Source organism: Homo sapiens, chromosome 4 (genome assembly GCF_000001405.40).
Source record: "Homo sapiens chromosome 4, GRCh38.p14 Primary Assembly".
In the NCBI taxonomy this organism is placed as follows: domain Eukaryota; kingdom Metazoa; phylum Chordata; class Mammalia; order Primates; family Hominidae; genus Homo; species Homo sapiens.
Window position 1 is genome coordinate 71,443,423 of NC_000004.12, and position 16,585 is coordinate 71,460,007.

Below are 16,585 nucleotides of genomic sequence, written 5' to 3' on the forward strand. Positions count from 1 at the left end.
TACAGGCATGAGCCACCGTGCCCAGCCTCATTCATATTTTTGAGCTATATAGGGGATGAATGTTCTTCTTATACCATTTTGCAGTTGAGAGATGAAGGCAAAGGGAAGATTCAGCATCAGTGCTGGGAATAGAACTTTAAATAGATTTCTGAATCTGAGACAAGAGTTTTAGGGACAGCCTAGGGAGATTCTAGAAAAGATTGGAATAAAATGTTTTAGGGTTCTCTTATAAAGAAGAATAAAACCCTAGTTTGTGCTTTTCTAATCTTGATTTGCACATGTAAGGTAATTGGTTATTAAGTAAGCTCCAGACTGTTAAAAATTTAGAATGTTTACCCTCTTAGTGGCACTGTAAGATAATATATATATGTTACAAATAATTATTTATCTAAAAGAAGTAGTTTGTGATTAATTGTCAAAGCCATTAAAAAAACTTAGAGGGATTGGGATGGAGATCCTGCTAGTTCAATTTTGTCACATCCACCAGTTTAATTGCTAGCTGCTATTAATATTTACCGCATGTAATGCAGTTGGTTATGGTGGGTTTGTGGTCCTCATGAATCCATTATGGAAGCCACAGTTTAGCCACATTTTCCAAAGCTGATAAAGATGAATAATGGGTTATTGAATTCACTGTTGTTTTGAGAGAAGGATATAAAGGATTGGTACATGCTGAGTTTATGCTAGAAATAGCTGTGATGTATCAGGAAAGAGGGGGGTGCATATCTTTTCCGAAAACATCAAGTGGTTTAGGAAGGCTAGCTCCTTTTCTCATATTATGCTCTGTTTCTGCTTATAATTATTTTGTGAATGTGAGTATAGGCCGTTGGTTCCGGACACAGATTATTTGGTTAATACATCCTTTTGTTGTGGAGAATGCTGGAGGCATCTTCCGCAGGCATAATTAACTATATGAAAAAACTCAGAAAAGTAGAAAAGGGCCTCATGAAGATTATTCAGATAACTAGACGCTATTAAAAATTGTAACTCTGACTTATTTATTTATGAGTGAATAAAAAGAACTTAGTAACATAAATTAATGCTTTTTTTTTCCAAGCTGTCAAAGTAGGCTGTGCCCTTGCAGCCACACAAATGTGATGTTTACTCTAATTTGTTAATAGAGAAAAAAGCTTCTGGATAAAAATAACATCTGTCCATTGACAAAAAACAGCTTGGGTCATGAAAGGAGTTTTCAGTACATTATAAAAGCTGAGTTTGGCAGGATGTACTTCAATCATAAAAGTTGTAACAGCTTTCGCTTCTTTGAAGGTTAAAGGAGAGAAAACATATTTCAGGCAGAGGGAACTTCAACTTGTTGGATTGTTTTGTGTTCAGTTTTCTCGGATTTCTCATCCCATTTCAATAATGCAGTCCAGATTAGAAGCTTCTTAAAGGTGTCCATTCCTCCAGATGACATTTTTGGCTTGAGGTTATGTTTCCTGCTGCTTATGAATGCTTGGATTCTCTCTATTTATCATTTTAAGGAGGCAGATTTACTGAATTATTCCTGATTGGAGTAATGTGAAAATTTTAACTGGTATGTCCACCATGTTGGTTTGGCCCTTGGTGTTATTCCATTAATGAAGAAATACCTTCTTTAAAAAATAAAAATTGCATTACCCAGGAAAGAGGAATACTACTTTTATATCTGTGTTACTGAACCAATATAATTCTCATATATTGTGTTTATTGCTATCGTGTAGACACCATTGATCTGCTGCTTCCTTTCATTCTTTGACTGGTTCTATTTAGCAGAGAACAAAGAGTAAATATTTTATAGAAAATGTCTGTCCTCGTCTCATAGGATGTAACTTGGAGGCTCCATTACTCTATCAGCTATTGGAATACCCACTGCCTGCCAAAGTTTATGTTTGAGGACTATTAATGACTGAGAATGTTTTTTCACTAACTAGACAATGTTTTGGCTTTGTTGCTATATAGTCAACCTGATAATTAACTCATTATCAGTGTCAGTTGATAAATACATTTCCATAATATGTATTTGTAAGCTATAATCATGATGGAGGTGCTAGGGAGAGGTAGGAAGAGATACAGAGTGTTTGGAAAAGTTTTGGATATTATGCATTACTGAAAAGTTAATATTTAGATACATGAAGATAATAAAAATGGAAGCAGAAGAAATCTATTATTTAAAAATGTACTAAGGATCCAGGTGTTAGATATTTTCTCTTGTGGCACAGCATCTGCCCCTTTTCACCTAAACCCACACCCTTATTGAATTGAAACATGACCATCTGTAGTCAGGCAAACGAAATTGAGAAATGTGACCAGTACTTATGTTTCTCAATGGGATTAAAGCATTATTTTGCTTTAATCATTAAATATATTTTGTGCATGTTGCACTCAAATCAGTGATCAGTCCCTTTAGAAAAATACACTTTACAGTCCTAAAGAAGCACTTTATAATACTATACGTAGTGGCATATAATTAGGGGCCAGCTTCGAAGGGACAAAAGTTCTAGTGTCAATTGAACTTCAGTGTTAAAAGAGCTGAAATTCAATTCAAATAATGACTTCCTTCATACTTGAACAGACTTTGGTGCCTGCTGATTGCTATCTACTTTGGTAACACTTGAAAGTGAGTGTGCTGCTTCACTTCAGAGCTGGTTTCTAAGCAAATAAGTACTAAGTGGTTTTATGGTTATTCTGGTATAAAACCTGAGTATTCAAACTTTCAGACACCTTTTTACATTCTTCATTTCTGGGATTTTAGAATCCCTTTTGGGTTGAATTTTATGATAAAAAAAAAGTAATTATACATTCAAGGGCATTTTGGAACAGACCCAAACATTTTTTAAAGTATTTGCTGTCAATCCTTTTTTATTTGAAGTGAGGGATATAAATAAGTAAGTTAAAAATAAAATTCTGCTGAGCAAAATGGCAAGCTGTTTCTGGTACCATAAAAATCTTACCTAAGATTTCTTGTCCCTGGCTAAGCATCCAGAAGTGACCCAGAGTGACCTATGGAAGACTTATGGAAGTCATTTTTGGACTTCTGTTAAATCACAACCTTGGTATATCAGTTGGGCAGGTAGTATTAGGCAGAAATATGTGGTGAAAAGAACAGGAGGTAAGAATGCCTATATATCTACTCTTTGTCATTTACTAGGCACAGATCTTGGGCTCTTCCATTAACCTCCACCAGCCTCATTTTCCTCACCATTAAATGGGAATAGGATACTTTCTTTACTGCAGAGGGTCATATGGAAATGTAAATAAAGTGATGAATGTGAAGTGCTTTGGAGGCCTTATAAGCTGGGCAGGCATATGATGTTATCATTTTTATTGTCCTCATTATCTCCCCGTTAGGTGATACATGATCAATATCAAGGTGGGATTTATCCCACGTCACCTTTTGTAGATTTTTTTGTAAATTTTTTCTTACTCATTTACTCATCAGATCCCCGCATCCACAGTGCCAACATGCCACAGGGCAAAGGCCCTGTGTGATAAGTGAGGGATTTTTTCCAACTTGGTTAGAGGTGAACCTAAGTGGGGTTAAGTTTGTTATTGTATGTTTCAGGACCTGTTTGCTATGAAGCAATGTTTTGTGCATTATGAAGAAAAAATGTTGGTAAATGACAAGAGGACACCCACAAAATAATTTTGACTGTCTGTGAATGATGCTTTATTTTGAATTTCTCTCATATTTCTCTTCCCTTACTTTGGCTGTCACCATGTGGCTTACTTGTAGAGGACTTGGTTTTTGCTGATTCCCAGTCACTTCTGAGTAGACATATTTCTTAAAAGTGTGGAGACGATCATCTGTCACTGCCCATATTGGGTAAGGAAAAGTCAGAGAAATGTGAAGATGCACTAACTCTTTCTAGTTATTGTGCTTGATGGGTTTGCTCCAAAGATTCTGAAAATCAGTAGAAATGGAGAGAGAAAAAAAGTTTAAAATAGAAAGATTGAATGACTCATATTAAGCACTTGAAGTGCACCTTTCCTGCTCAGTGAAGAAGCTTCTCAGGTTTCTATGCTATATTCTCATTTGCCTCCAAATAAACTGAACAATGAACTGTGTTTTGCAATAGTGCGAAAGAGTATATTCTGTACTACCAATAATATATTACCTTTGTTTTAAAGGTGAATTCTAGACCTAACCTTTTTATGAACTAAGTTAAACATTTCTCAGTTTTATGTATGTTGAGTTTGATGAAATGTGTGTTATAGCCTTTGCTTCTTTCCTTTTCCATTAGGTTCTTGTTCATTCTCTTAGGTCCTAAGGGGAAAGCCAAGTCCTACCACGAGATTGGCAGAGCCATTGCCACCCTGATGTCTGATGAGGTAGGAAATCAGGAAGATGGAGTTCTGTGAATGTCCTACTTGTTTGTTGTCATACTGTGAATTGGCTGTCACAATTTATTCAATTAGAATTATGTGGTTACTAGACTTCCTTATAGCATGAGGTACGGTCATTTGAGACAAATGAGCTGAATCCTATATGGTTTGCAAAAAGTAAGGCATGCATTTTGGTTTTCTATGGGATTCTAAACTCTGTTGGAATAAAACATATTTTCCTTTCTTTTACCAAACATTTTCATTTCTTAAAACTGATATATGTCAAATATTCTTTAAAAAGTTCAAAGTCAGCTGGGCATGGTGGCTCACGCCTGTAATCCCAGCACTTTGAGAGGTCGAGGTGGGCAGATCACCTGAGGTCAGGAGTTCGAGACCAGCCTGACCAACATGGTGAAAACCCGTTTCTACTAAAAATAAAAAAATTAGCCAGGCATGGTGGTGCATGCCTGTAATCCCAGCTACTCAGAAGGCTGAGGCAGGAGAATCACTAGAACCTGAGATGCAGAGGTTGCAGTGAGCTGAGATCACGCCACTGCACTCCAGCCTGGGCAACAGAGCGAGATTCCATCTCAAAAAAAAAAAAAAAAAAAGGTTCAAGGTCATTGTATTAACTTAAACTTTATCTCTTGAAGTTTTAATACACTAATTCTGGGAATTCAAATGTCTATATTCTATATTATTTCAGAAATGATGGGTTCTATAAAATAATGTCTAATAAAATGGATAATGCATTTTTTCTTAGGTATCAGAAAGTACATGTTTTATGGTTTTCTTATTTCGTGGGAAGGAATGATACACATCTAAAAATGCATTAGCAACCATTATGGCAAAGTATCTGTACAGGTTGGAATTATGACCCCATTTATTTTCATAACAGCCTGGATGTTACATGCATTTTAGATATGAGAAAATTCTGAACTATTCCCATAGGAGGAGAAATACTGTTAGAATACAGGATCATTAGTTTCTGCTCCTGGGTCTTTCTGGGCTTACTATTTCCCCAAATGTATTGCTTTTGCTTCATTGCTTGATTTGTCGGTTTTTCTGTGTGTTAAGTGGAGAAAGGGGTACCTTTCTCCTTAGTTATAGATGTTCCATGTGGTGATTACTCAGGTAGCTATTTTATTCTGTGACTGAAAGCTTTATGGCTATGCTGCTTTTTCCCTTCAAGGGAACATTTATTTTATTCATCTCAGTGCATTCATTTTATTTTTTGCATTTTTGTAATTTAGATCTGTTTTAAAAAATACTTTCTCCTAAGATGTATCAATTAAGAATACTTTAACAAGTGAGATTTAGAGTGGCTTAAACAATTTGGGATTTATTTGGAAGTTTGGAGGTAGGTAGTTGCTGGGGTTATTTTAACATAACGGCTTAATGATAAATCAAGAGCTAAGGCTCTTGCTAAATTTATGATCTTAAAATAGCATGTTTTCTTTTCCTGTCAGTATGGTAAAACGACATTGCCTACCATCAGCTCCAGTCATCTTATCTGTATTTATTCAAAGTAGGAAGAACAGTGTGGTAATGCTAGCTGTATCTCCCTTTTTAAACAGGTATTCTAGAGCTTTCCCAGACAGCCTTTTTCTTATATCTTATTAGTTGGAATTGTTCATCTTTATCTGCACAGTTGGCTGGGAAAGTGAATCTGTGACTTTCCAGCCTCTATCATGAGAAACAGCAAGAGAAAGAAAATAAGGTTGAGGATGGCTATATCAGCCACAGATTATGTGCTGGCATTTTGTGTCACCCTCCCCTCAACCCCACAACCCCCAGACTGTTAAATGTTACTTAATTGATAGCTTTTAAAAATTCTTTTCCTAGAGAAGTGGTTTAGTCACAATCTTTAAGAATAGGTAAGGGTATTGAACAGGGACCATCTTCTCTTCTGAAGACTAAAGAATTTGACTTATGAAGTATGAAAGACTTAGGTTATATGTAAAGAAATTTCAGATCATCAGCTCTGTTAGAAAAATGGAATGATTGACAGAAAGATTGTGTACATTTTGGAACCTCTTTCTTTGGAGATCTGCATAAAAGATATGAAGCACTTGCTGCATTAGATGGTTTAGTTGTTGTCTTGCTAAAAGATAGACAGATGATTGACTATTTAAGGCCTTTTGGTTAATGTGCTGCCGATATAACCCAGATTTTTCTTTTTTAAATATCTCACATTGTGTGTTTGAGAGCTCAGTGTTTGGGTCTTAACCCGATCTTAACACTCAGCTTGAACTTTTCCTTCTTGAGTTATCAGCAATTTTTATCCCAGTAGTTTTTATTTCAGGGAATGACTCTTCAGTATATTTCTCCAAACCATTTTAATCTGGCTCCCATAGCAACTGTATCAGTAGTGGTACATACCAGTGGGAGCTGAAAGGCAATGTTGTTTTATATTATTGGTAGGAAAAAAAACCACATAAAAACATAGCTGTTTCTTCAGGCCTCTGCCTCTATTCTTTGAAATCATAATCTGAATGCCTATATTTTCGGGGGGCAGGCTGAATAATAGGGACTATCAGAGCATGGCTGGATTAATATTAATAGCACAGTTGTTATGGGCTGCATTCTTCAGGCTTGATATGGTGTGAAGCATGTACAGAGTTATCTTTTTGGATGAGCACATCTTTTATTATTCTTTAGGTGTTCCATGACATTGCTTATAAAGCAAAAGACAGGCACGACCTGATTGCTGGTATTGATGAGTTCCTAGATGAAGTCATCGTCCTTCCACCTGGGGAATGGGATCCAGCAATTAGGATAGAGCCTCCTAAGAGTCTTCCATCCTCTGACAAAAGGTAAATTATAGGCAGTTGATAATTTTCAGTAGCTGAGATGACTCTGAGAAGGAGGTTGTGTTAAAAAAAAAAAGTGAAGTCAACCTGTTGTTCTAATATTTTCAGGTTCCTGTTTAACTTGATGTATTTTCTCAAATGGATCACTTATGTGCCTTGGTTTCACGTTTCCTTGGCATTGTAAAATAAATGTTATGTGGTATGATGTTCTTCAGTTATTATAAATTGGAGATCTCAGATTACTACATGGGAATGTATCACAGACATGCTTTGGCGATGTTTTGGGGACCCCCTGTATATCTGGAAACATAAATTTACTGAAGATGAGTCCTTGTAGATGTACATGGTTAAGACATTGGGTAAAATAGTTGAAGAGAAACAATTTTCTAGAAATCTATTTTTTCCCAGTTGAAGCAGTTTCCCTCTTTTAAGACATACAGTTCATTCAACTTTCCTATTCATCCAGTCATTTGTATTGGTTCTAAATGTAACACTTAAAGAACTGTCTGTTAGATAGCAGAAAGAAATAACAATCTTTCACCTTAAGGGTTTTCACTCCATCTCCCCATTAGCCAGAGCATGATACAGCTAAGAAGCGAATGAATAAAATAAACTAATATACTCTTGGGCTCTGTTGTCTTGCTTAGAAAGAATATGTACTCAGGTGGAGAGAATGTTCAGATGAATGGGGATACGCCCCATGATGGAGGTCACGGAGGAGGAGGACATGGGGATTGTGAAGAATTGCAGCGAACTGGACGGTAACTGACAGTTTCCTTTGCCATTCATGATGAGGTTCTCCTTAAATGTAAATTTCCCTTCATCTATCAACATATTATTCACTAGTTTGTTCATCTGTTCAGCCAACAAATATTTATGGTATACCTATTTGTCACAGGCACTGGGAATATAGCAGTGAATTAAATGATACTGTATTCCCATAAGGATCTTATATTGTAGTGACAAGACATAAACAGTAAGTGAATAAGTAAATGTGGTGATGGTTTTATGGGGAAAATTAAGGCAGAAGTAGGGACTTTGAGGATGGGAGTATTGTATTCCAATTTTAGATAAGAGTGGTCAGAGAAGGCCTTACAAAGAATGGCAACATTTGAAGAAAGTGCTACAGGAGGTGGGAGACAGACCAGGTGGGTGTGGTGGGTGTGTGGGGGTGGGCTGCAACAGAGTGCCTGGTGTGTGACAGGGCTGGCATCAAAGCCAGCAAGACTAGAGGGGAATGACTGAGGGTGTGTTAGGGTCAGAGAGATGGCAGAGGACTGACAGATGTACCAGCCTTCACCTCTTGGCTTTCATAATTCCATTTCTCACCTGTATGTGTATTCAACAGTGAGTAGCATGATATAGGAATGAGTTCTCACTGTTCTGCCTCCTTAGCCTGCAATTGGGAATTCAGGTTTCCTAAATTGCTTCAGCTAATTTCTTTCCATGATAACTCTTCCTTCCCTACCATTAGATTGTTCCTTTTATTGGGTGTTAAGTAAAATTTTAAGTGGGATACTTATTTTATGAAGATATGGCTTTTTAAAAACACTGCAGGGTTTTTTTTTAACATGAAAAGGTATGTCATTATAATATGCAATTGAATGTGAATGAAATGAAGTTATTTCATTCTCCTGATGACCCACTTGGATTTCTCTCTCAAATTAACAGGATATTATTCCTCTGTCCTTTATTCTGAAAGGATAGAGAACATAAAATCTTCTCTCCTCTCCTCCCCTAACCTTTTTTTGAATAGTTTTTTGTAAATTATTTCCATTAGGAATATCCTTTTCTTTTTTTACAGACATGAGTTCTGGGCTTTAATTTTTAATTTAATCAGAATATATTTCATTCTTTTATATTTCACCTTTGCTAAACTAATTGAATGTCTGTAGTATGCCTGGTACCATGCATAGCCCTGTGAATACTAAGAAAACTGAAGCAGGGCACTGAGTGCGGCTAAGGTCCAGTGGTTGTGCAGACAGATAGATGGACGATCCTAATAAAATGTAATAGCCAAGAGTGGAAATATGAACTGTAAGTGCAAGGTCAAGACTTCGGAGAGCTGTTGAGCTTCAGAATAGGGCATTCTAGGCAGAAGCCCTGGGGAAGACTGAGGTTTGAGGCTTGGTTGGGAGGGTGAGTAGACTGACGTGCAAGTCACTCAACTGACCTGCTGACATTTGTCATGGGACTCAGCTGCATTTCCTCCCATCACACACCTCCATGGCTTCCTCCCTTAGTTCCTTCAGGTCCTTACCCTAAAGTCACCTTCTTGGAGACCTTTTCTGGCCACTCTATCTAAAATTTCAACCACCTTTTTTCCAGTACTACATAATGCTCTTTCCCATTTAATTTTTCTTTTGATTTTTATCACTATGTGTTGCATTTATTCATTTATTGTCTGCCTCCTTTTCATCCCCAGAGTAAACTCCATGAAAGCAGAGGTTTTTTGATGCATGTTGTTCACTGTTATGTCCTCAGCACTCAGAAGAGTGCCAGAGTGTGGGCATATCGCAGGTGCTCAGTAGCATTTATTGAAGATGAAAGAATGAATGATGAATAAATGAGTGAGTGAATGGATGAATGAATGAGGGTGGAAAGGGTACTATGGCGAGATGATGAAGGGCCTTTATATGATCTGCTTGCATATTAGGACGTTTTTCTCTAGGCAATGAAACATTTTAATGTATTTACACAGTTCACTCTTTTCTAAAGACCAACTGGCTGATCTTCAGGAAATGTGACACCTAATTTGGTGACCCAAAAAGAAAGAGATAGAAGAAAATTTATTCCTTTATAGTTTTCTGGTTTCATCGTAAGTGGTTAAGTAGTATCTTGTCACTGATTCAAGCATTTTAAATATGTTGTGTTTGATTTAATGAGTTACCTCTTGATTAATTTGATGGTAATTTACTTTACATTTAGTGGATGTTTGCATTCTCTCTGCCCAGGTTCTGTGGTGGACTAATTAAAGACATAAAGAGGAAAGCGCCATTTTTTGCCAGTGATTTTTATGATGCTTTAAATATTCAAGCTCTTTCGGCAATTCTCTTCATTTATCTGGCAACTGTAACTAATGCTATCACTTTTGGAGGACTGCTTGGGGATGCCACTGACAACATGCAGGTGGGTATGGTTTTGAGGAGGACACAAATAGTACAGCCCAGATTGCCTTCCTCACCCCTACAGCTCAGTTAGAAGCAGATGGCCTTTCAGTTACTCAGCGTGATTTTCTTTCTTTTGCTGGATGCTGCATTTTACTTTGCTTCTGGCCTGCTGCTGTATTTCCAGCATTTTAGTAATTATAAAAATAGCTCGATGAAATCTGGCTTGAGTCACAAGTAGGGAAAGGAAGGGAAGGAAATGAGGATATACAATTCTATTTGGGCAAAAGCATATCAGCTGCTTTAATTTTGTACAGTGCACAAGGTTTAGATCTTCTACTAGTTTGACTATGTGGAACATATTCTGTTAAACTTGATGATTACACTTTCTTTGGGAATGTATGATTAGCTTAATTTTACACATGAGCAAATAGCTTCCAACCATTGAGCGATTTGCTCAAAGTTGGGTTTGCATGTTTACCAGTATAATTTGGTTTTAATGAATATAAGCTAACAGTTATATCTCCTGCAGGTGGACCTGATTCTCATTAAGCTGTAACGACTCTGGCTTGACTTATTTTGTATGATTAATTGTAACCACAATTAGTTGGTTACTTCTCAGATAGCATTATCTTCCTTTTGCAACAATAATAAAGTTTTGGTGATAGAAAAGATGTGTCTGATTCCCTCCACCAACCAGAAAAATATGTCCCAAATTACTTTTAGTTGGTCCAATCCTTTTCAGAAAAGCTATTGTGCTAGGTGATGAATACGAGTAGTGAATGAAGTTATATTCCTATGAAAAGGACCAGATTGAAGCCCTTTTCACACTTTTCCTTCCACTTTACTATATATTATTGTATAACCTATGTGGTATTCATAAGTGATGCCAGCCAGCTTATTTTTTTTTTAAATGCAGCTGATTCCATAGGATTGCTGTTTTTCTACTTTGGTTTTCTTTCCTGGGCACATGCATATTTTAGATTTTTGTCTAAATACAAAAATACTATGGAGATTATAACATCTATGTTGACCTAAGTAAAAAGGGAGAAATTATACAATTGTATTTTAGTTTGTCAAGTGCAGTTTTATCTTTTAGTTCTTATCTAGTACTGCATAGCATGTTACCCCAAAACTTAGAGGCTTGAAACAACCATTTTATTACTCTCTTTCATGGCTGGATGGTGGGTTGGCTCAGCTGAGTGGTTCTCTCTTTGGTCCCTCATTCACTTGCAGTCAGATGGCAGCAGAGGTTGAGGTCACGCAGCAGCTTCTTTACTCATGTGTTGGTGCCTAAGCTAGGATGTCCAGAATATTTGGGGTCTGGATACTCTCCACACGACTTCTCCACATAGCTAACTTGGGCTTTCTCACAGTGGGGGGACTGTGATGACGTCTAAGAGCTCATGCTCCATCAGAAAGAGGCAGTTGCCACTCAGCTTTGCTTTTTCCCACATAAATGTGTACGCAGTATTGCTTCATTTTCTGATCTTCAAAGAGAGGCTGAAAATTCTGATTCTTAGTGAAACCAGTGATTTTTAAATATTGGCAACTGATTAACATTTTAGGAAATAATATCGTGCTGGTCAAAGAACACATACCTCTGTGTTACCAGTGAGAGATCTGCAGCATGGGTTATGAGAACCAACTCTAATAGGACATAGAGATGAAATAGACAGAGCATGTTTTTCTCCTTTTCCCTCATTTGTAAGACAAAACTGAATACATTAAATTGTAGTAGTGATGTCAGTAATAGAATTTTTATAAAATTTGATCTATATCCAAGTTGGGCAGCTATTCTTCATCTAAATGACAGCGTAAGGATAACTAAAACAGATCGTTCAAGAAAAAAAATGGAGAAGATGGCACTGGGGAAACACCCTACGGCCAGCTTGAAGAAGTTAATACAGGCAACCACATGTTAAGAAAATAGAAGAAAGCTGTGATTTTGAGAGGGCGGTAAGAACAAAACTGTCTTCCGTCTGTCAGAATGTATAGAGACTTTCTTGTGTTGTGCAGATAATTTTTAAACTTTTTTTGATGGACATTCTCATTGAGATGGGGACATTGCAATATTGCCTATGTGTATTAGTTTATTGCCTTTTTTGAATTGAATTGTAATTCTTTGCAACCTCATAAGACTTGGCTTTACAATGCTGCATCTGACTGTAGAGAAGAAGTCTGTTCAGATCTGTTTTGATCCCTCCTAGATGGATGAACTTCTTTATGAGTAGGTTTTGGGAAAGTAGAGCACTCTATTATGTAACATACATAGTTAATTGGTATTTTTCTCCTATGTGATATATGACCTGGGAAAGGCCTTGCTGGTGGAATTAGCTATTTTCTGTGTTCTAAAGATTTCAAGAGGAACGTAAATACTTTCAGTGCTTCAGGATGTTAAGTAGTCCACTAAAATAACCATTTGCTGGATGTGACTCCTAAGAGCTGACTTTCAAATTTATGGGGAAATTTTCCAGATGTAATTTGATTATTTTATTAATAGATTTTTTAACCTCCATTGATAATTTCACTGAAACTGTGGATGGATTGTTTGAAAATACTGAAGAACATGTTTTTCACTCTCTTCCAAAGCTTTTTTCCTTTAAGAAACATATTGGCAATATCTTTCTCCTAGAATACAATTTTGATACATCTAGAAATTACAGTAAGTGGCAAAAACACTGAAAAAGAGGCATAGAAAATTAATGACTATGAATTTAAATTTGTTGAACCAAAACTTAACAAATATTAATAGTTTTATATATTTTAAGGACTAGGGAGTAAGGTGATTTAATGTGGAATTTAAGGTGGAAGATAATCTCTTGATTGAAAGGGTATGTACTTTACCGCACAAAATTTTTGATTTTCTGGCAGGAGAAGTCTTCTTGACCTGGGACCAGGATAAGGAAATATTTTGTAAATTTGGTGCTAAGGCCCAGGTCATTTTACAGGTCTATGGCAGAAGTTGATTCATTCCTTGCAAATATTTATGGAGTGTCTACTATGTGTTTGACACTGTTTTAAGTGCTGGAGATAAAGATAGATGAGCAAAATAGACAGGAATTCCAATTTTGAATCCCAGTTATAGTGTAGGGTATTGATGAAAACAGTCTTTTTCAGTCACCCCCAAGAGATACCAGTAGTGGGGTGTAGTGGGCTTATTTAGGGGATGAAGTCCTCTGGCTTCACTTGCTTTTCTAAACAGTAGACCAAGACTAAGCAGAAAAGCATTGGCAGAGCCTGAAATAATCTGCAGTTATGTCACATGCCTTCATAAATGTGGCAGTGGGTTATTCACAAAAGCACAGGCAGCTCAAATGAGTCAACTGAGAACAGTGTCCTTGCTTTTAAAGGCAGACAGCTCAGAGATGGTTCACATAGGGCCTTTATTGTCAGGCTACAAATAGACATGGGTGCTGGGTAGAAACGTGTTGTGAAAACACAGATGAGTCACTGCATGGCTGTTGTCTAAGCAAACTCTTCTGCCAGCTTCTGTTCAGAAGGTCTTGCCTGTTTGAAGCATTTATGTTAGAGCATATATATACACATATATAATTAGAAGCAGATTATTTTGGGAGCTATGTAGATTATTTCCCATGAAATTATGTTCAAAATAGAACAGTTGAGGCTACAGTGACTCTAAGTACAATCATACAGTTATAATGCTGACATAGATGATTGCATGAATTCACTAGCTTGGCGTACACATTTTGCCCATTAGGCTGCTCTGAGAGAACTCTGGGACTTACAGAATGGGTATTCACAAATTTCTTGTTAAATGTCAGCAGTAAACTTTAGCTACGGCTTCTTTGAGTAACTGAACCACTCAGCCAAGAGTTGACATTACATTCATCTGAGATGCAACCCTGGCTTGTGACTGTTTCCTTTTTTTATGGTACAGCAATGGAGGACTAGAACATAAGCTTTCCGAAGTCTGAGAATTATGTGACATTCTTATTTTCCTTTTCTTATAGTAAGTTCCACATTAATACTCTGGTCTCCTTGCCATATTGTCAGGTAAACAAAGGCTTTTCATCCTTACCATCCTAAATAACGTGTCCCCTTCATAACTAAACTCTCTGTAACCATGCATGCCAACTCACTACATTATTGCAGTCATTCCTCGATATCAGCAGAGGATTGGTTCCAGGACCCCCTTTCCTCCCATGGATACCAAAATTCATCGATGTGCAAATCTCTTTTACAAAATGGAGTACTATTTATGTAGTACCTTTGCACATCCATATACTTTAAATTATCTCTAGGTTACTTATAATGCCTAATACAATGCAAATACTATGAAATACGTTATACTATATTTTAAATTTTGTATTAGCATTTATTGTTATATTGTTATGTTTTATTTTTATTTTTTCCTATTTTTGATCTGCAGTTGGTTGAATCCACTGATGTGGAACCCATTCATATGGATGGGCCAATTCATTTATATTCTTGGTTGCCAAACAAGTATACTGCTTAATTCATGTAGCTACTTCTAATTAAATTGTTAAATGTCAGCATATAAATATATTTCAGTAGAATTTATTACTACTATTGGTTGTTCATTCAAAGTACTGTCTGAATGGAACCTATGCAAATTAAATCAACACATATTTATGGATTACTTAGTCTATGGGCAAGATACTTATATAAGGAATAATTTTTGATACCTTGTGAAAAGTCTTATATTATTTAAAAAATTGTTCCTTTTAGTGTTATGAGATACAGAAAAGTATTTTAATTTAAATCTACATTGTTGATTGTGAATGAATAAGCACAGTCTAGAGTGAAGACTGAGTGAAGAAAGTAATTTTAATTTTTTTCCAGGAGTAAATATAATCCTATTTTCACAAACCTTTTAGCAAAAGAATACAGTAAGATTTTTAGATTCTGTGAATTTTGTGATATTTATGGAGCTTAACAGAGCACATTTTAAGGGAACTTGTCTCATAATAAGGAACATTTATAGTTGCCATCTCCAAATTTGAGACTTTATTTTAACATAAAGCTGTGCTGAGAATATTTAATCAATCTGCTTAAGTTGGAACTATATCATTTCTTATTTACATGTGATGTTCCTTGATAAGATAGACAAATCTTTACAAAGCCTATTATGTGTAATTTATAACAGCAAGATTAAAGCAAATTGGTAATTGCTTTACTATATTGAGAATTGTACAAGAATTTCAATTTAGCTGAGTGTTGTACTTTGGCACCAAAATGCATTTCCTCCTTGAAGTGAAAATATAAGGTGACGTTAATCTACACTATCAACATATTCCAGTTTCAAAGTTAGGTAGAGATTGTCTGTTGGAATGACACAATTTTGGTAGGTAAAAATAAATAGACATATTTAGTGACAAAATAAGGATTCTGCATTACCTGGTTGCCTTTAAAACTTATTAGCTATTTCTTCTTTAAAGAAGCTTTAAATAATGTGCTTTGCTTCATGGGCAAGTTGTGAATTAAATCCTGTTTGATTGAGGTTAAGTAATGTGTATTTGGTGGGTTTTTTTATTTGAAAGACCTTTGTCACCCTATTTCCTTGATGATCAGAAAATGATAGTGATTTAGGCAGGGATGTGGGGAGTCTCAACTGATGCTAAATTCTAATTCTTATTTTGTGTTTGACTTGCAACTGTTTTGAGAATAAGATATAATTATGTATTGTAGAAAATTCCAAAAATCCAAAAAAATTACGTAGAAGGTAATTTTGCCCTTAAACCCATCAACCAGAATTGATCATTATTAACATTGTCATGAACACTTTCCCATACATCTTAAAATTCATGTGTATACAGATAGATTGACATAAAGGATGCTGTTACATAACTTTAGTATTTCATGGATGTCTTTCCACTTCAGTATGAATATTTAACATCATTTTTAATGACCACATATATTTATGCACATGATGCATGTGCTATTACTATAACAGAGCCCCTCTTAGTGGACTTTTAGTTTTTCCCAGTTTTTTATAAACAAAAAAATGTAGGTGATTAACTACATGTTTATTATCTGTGATTACCTTCCTAGGGCAAATTTCTAGCAGAATGATAGCAGGATGTGCTCATTTTATTTTTTGATATTTGTTTCAAATACACTACACAAGGCTATACCAGTTCATATGTCTACCAATAACGGACAAGGATGTCCACTTGCTTATACCCTTGTAAAAACAGAATTTTGTCCCATATTCTCATTTTTTGTCGTTCTGTGGGTTGAAAAATAATGGTTCATTTTTGTTTAATTCTAATTTCTTTGATTACTTAGTGAGGGTGAATCTCCTTTTACATTTTTATTGATTGTCTATACTTCTTTATACTTGTATCATTGGTATATTTTCCTTTTGGGGCATTA

General features: G+C 35.9%; 1 protein-coding gene across 13 annotated transcripts in view; it reads left to right on the forward strand.

The window, feature by feature from the left end:
• The window catches only part of SLC4A4 (solute carrier family 4 member 4), a 509,424-nt gene that overhangs the window by 380,763 nt on the left and 112,076 nt on the right, over positions 1–16,585 (forward strand). For all 13 annotated transcript variants that reach the window (XM_024454268.2, NM_001440628.1, NM_001134742.2 and 10 more), the window contains 4 exons: positions 4,224–4,311; positions 6,967–7,121; positions 7,766–7,879; positions 10,073–10,247. In XM_024454268.2, the coding sequence (XP_024310036.1) occupies positions 4,224–4,311; positions 6,967–7,121; positions 7,766–7,879; positions 10,073–10,247 (532 nt within the window). The remainder of the gene's footprint in view (positions 1–4,223; positions 4,312–6,966; positions 7,122–7,765; positions 7,880–10,072; positions 10,248–16,585) is intronic.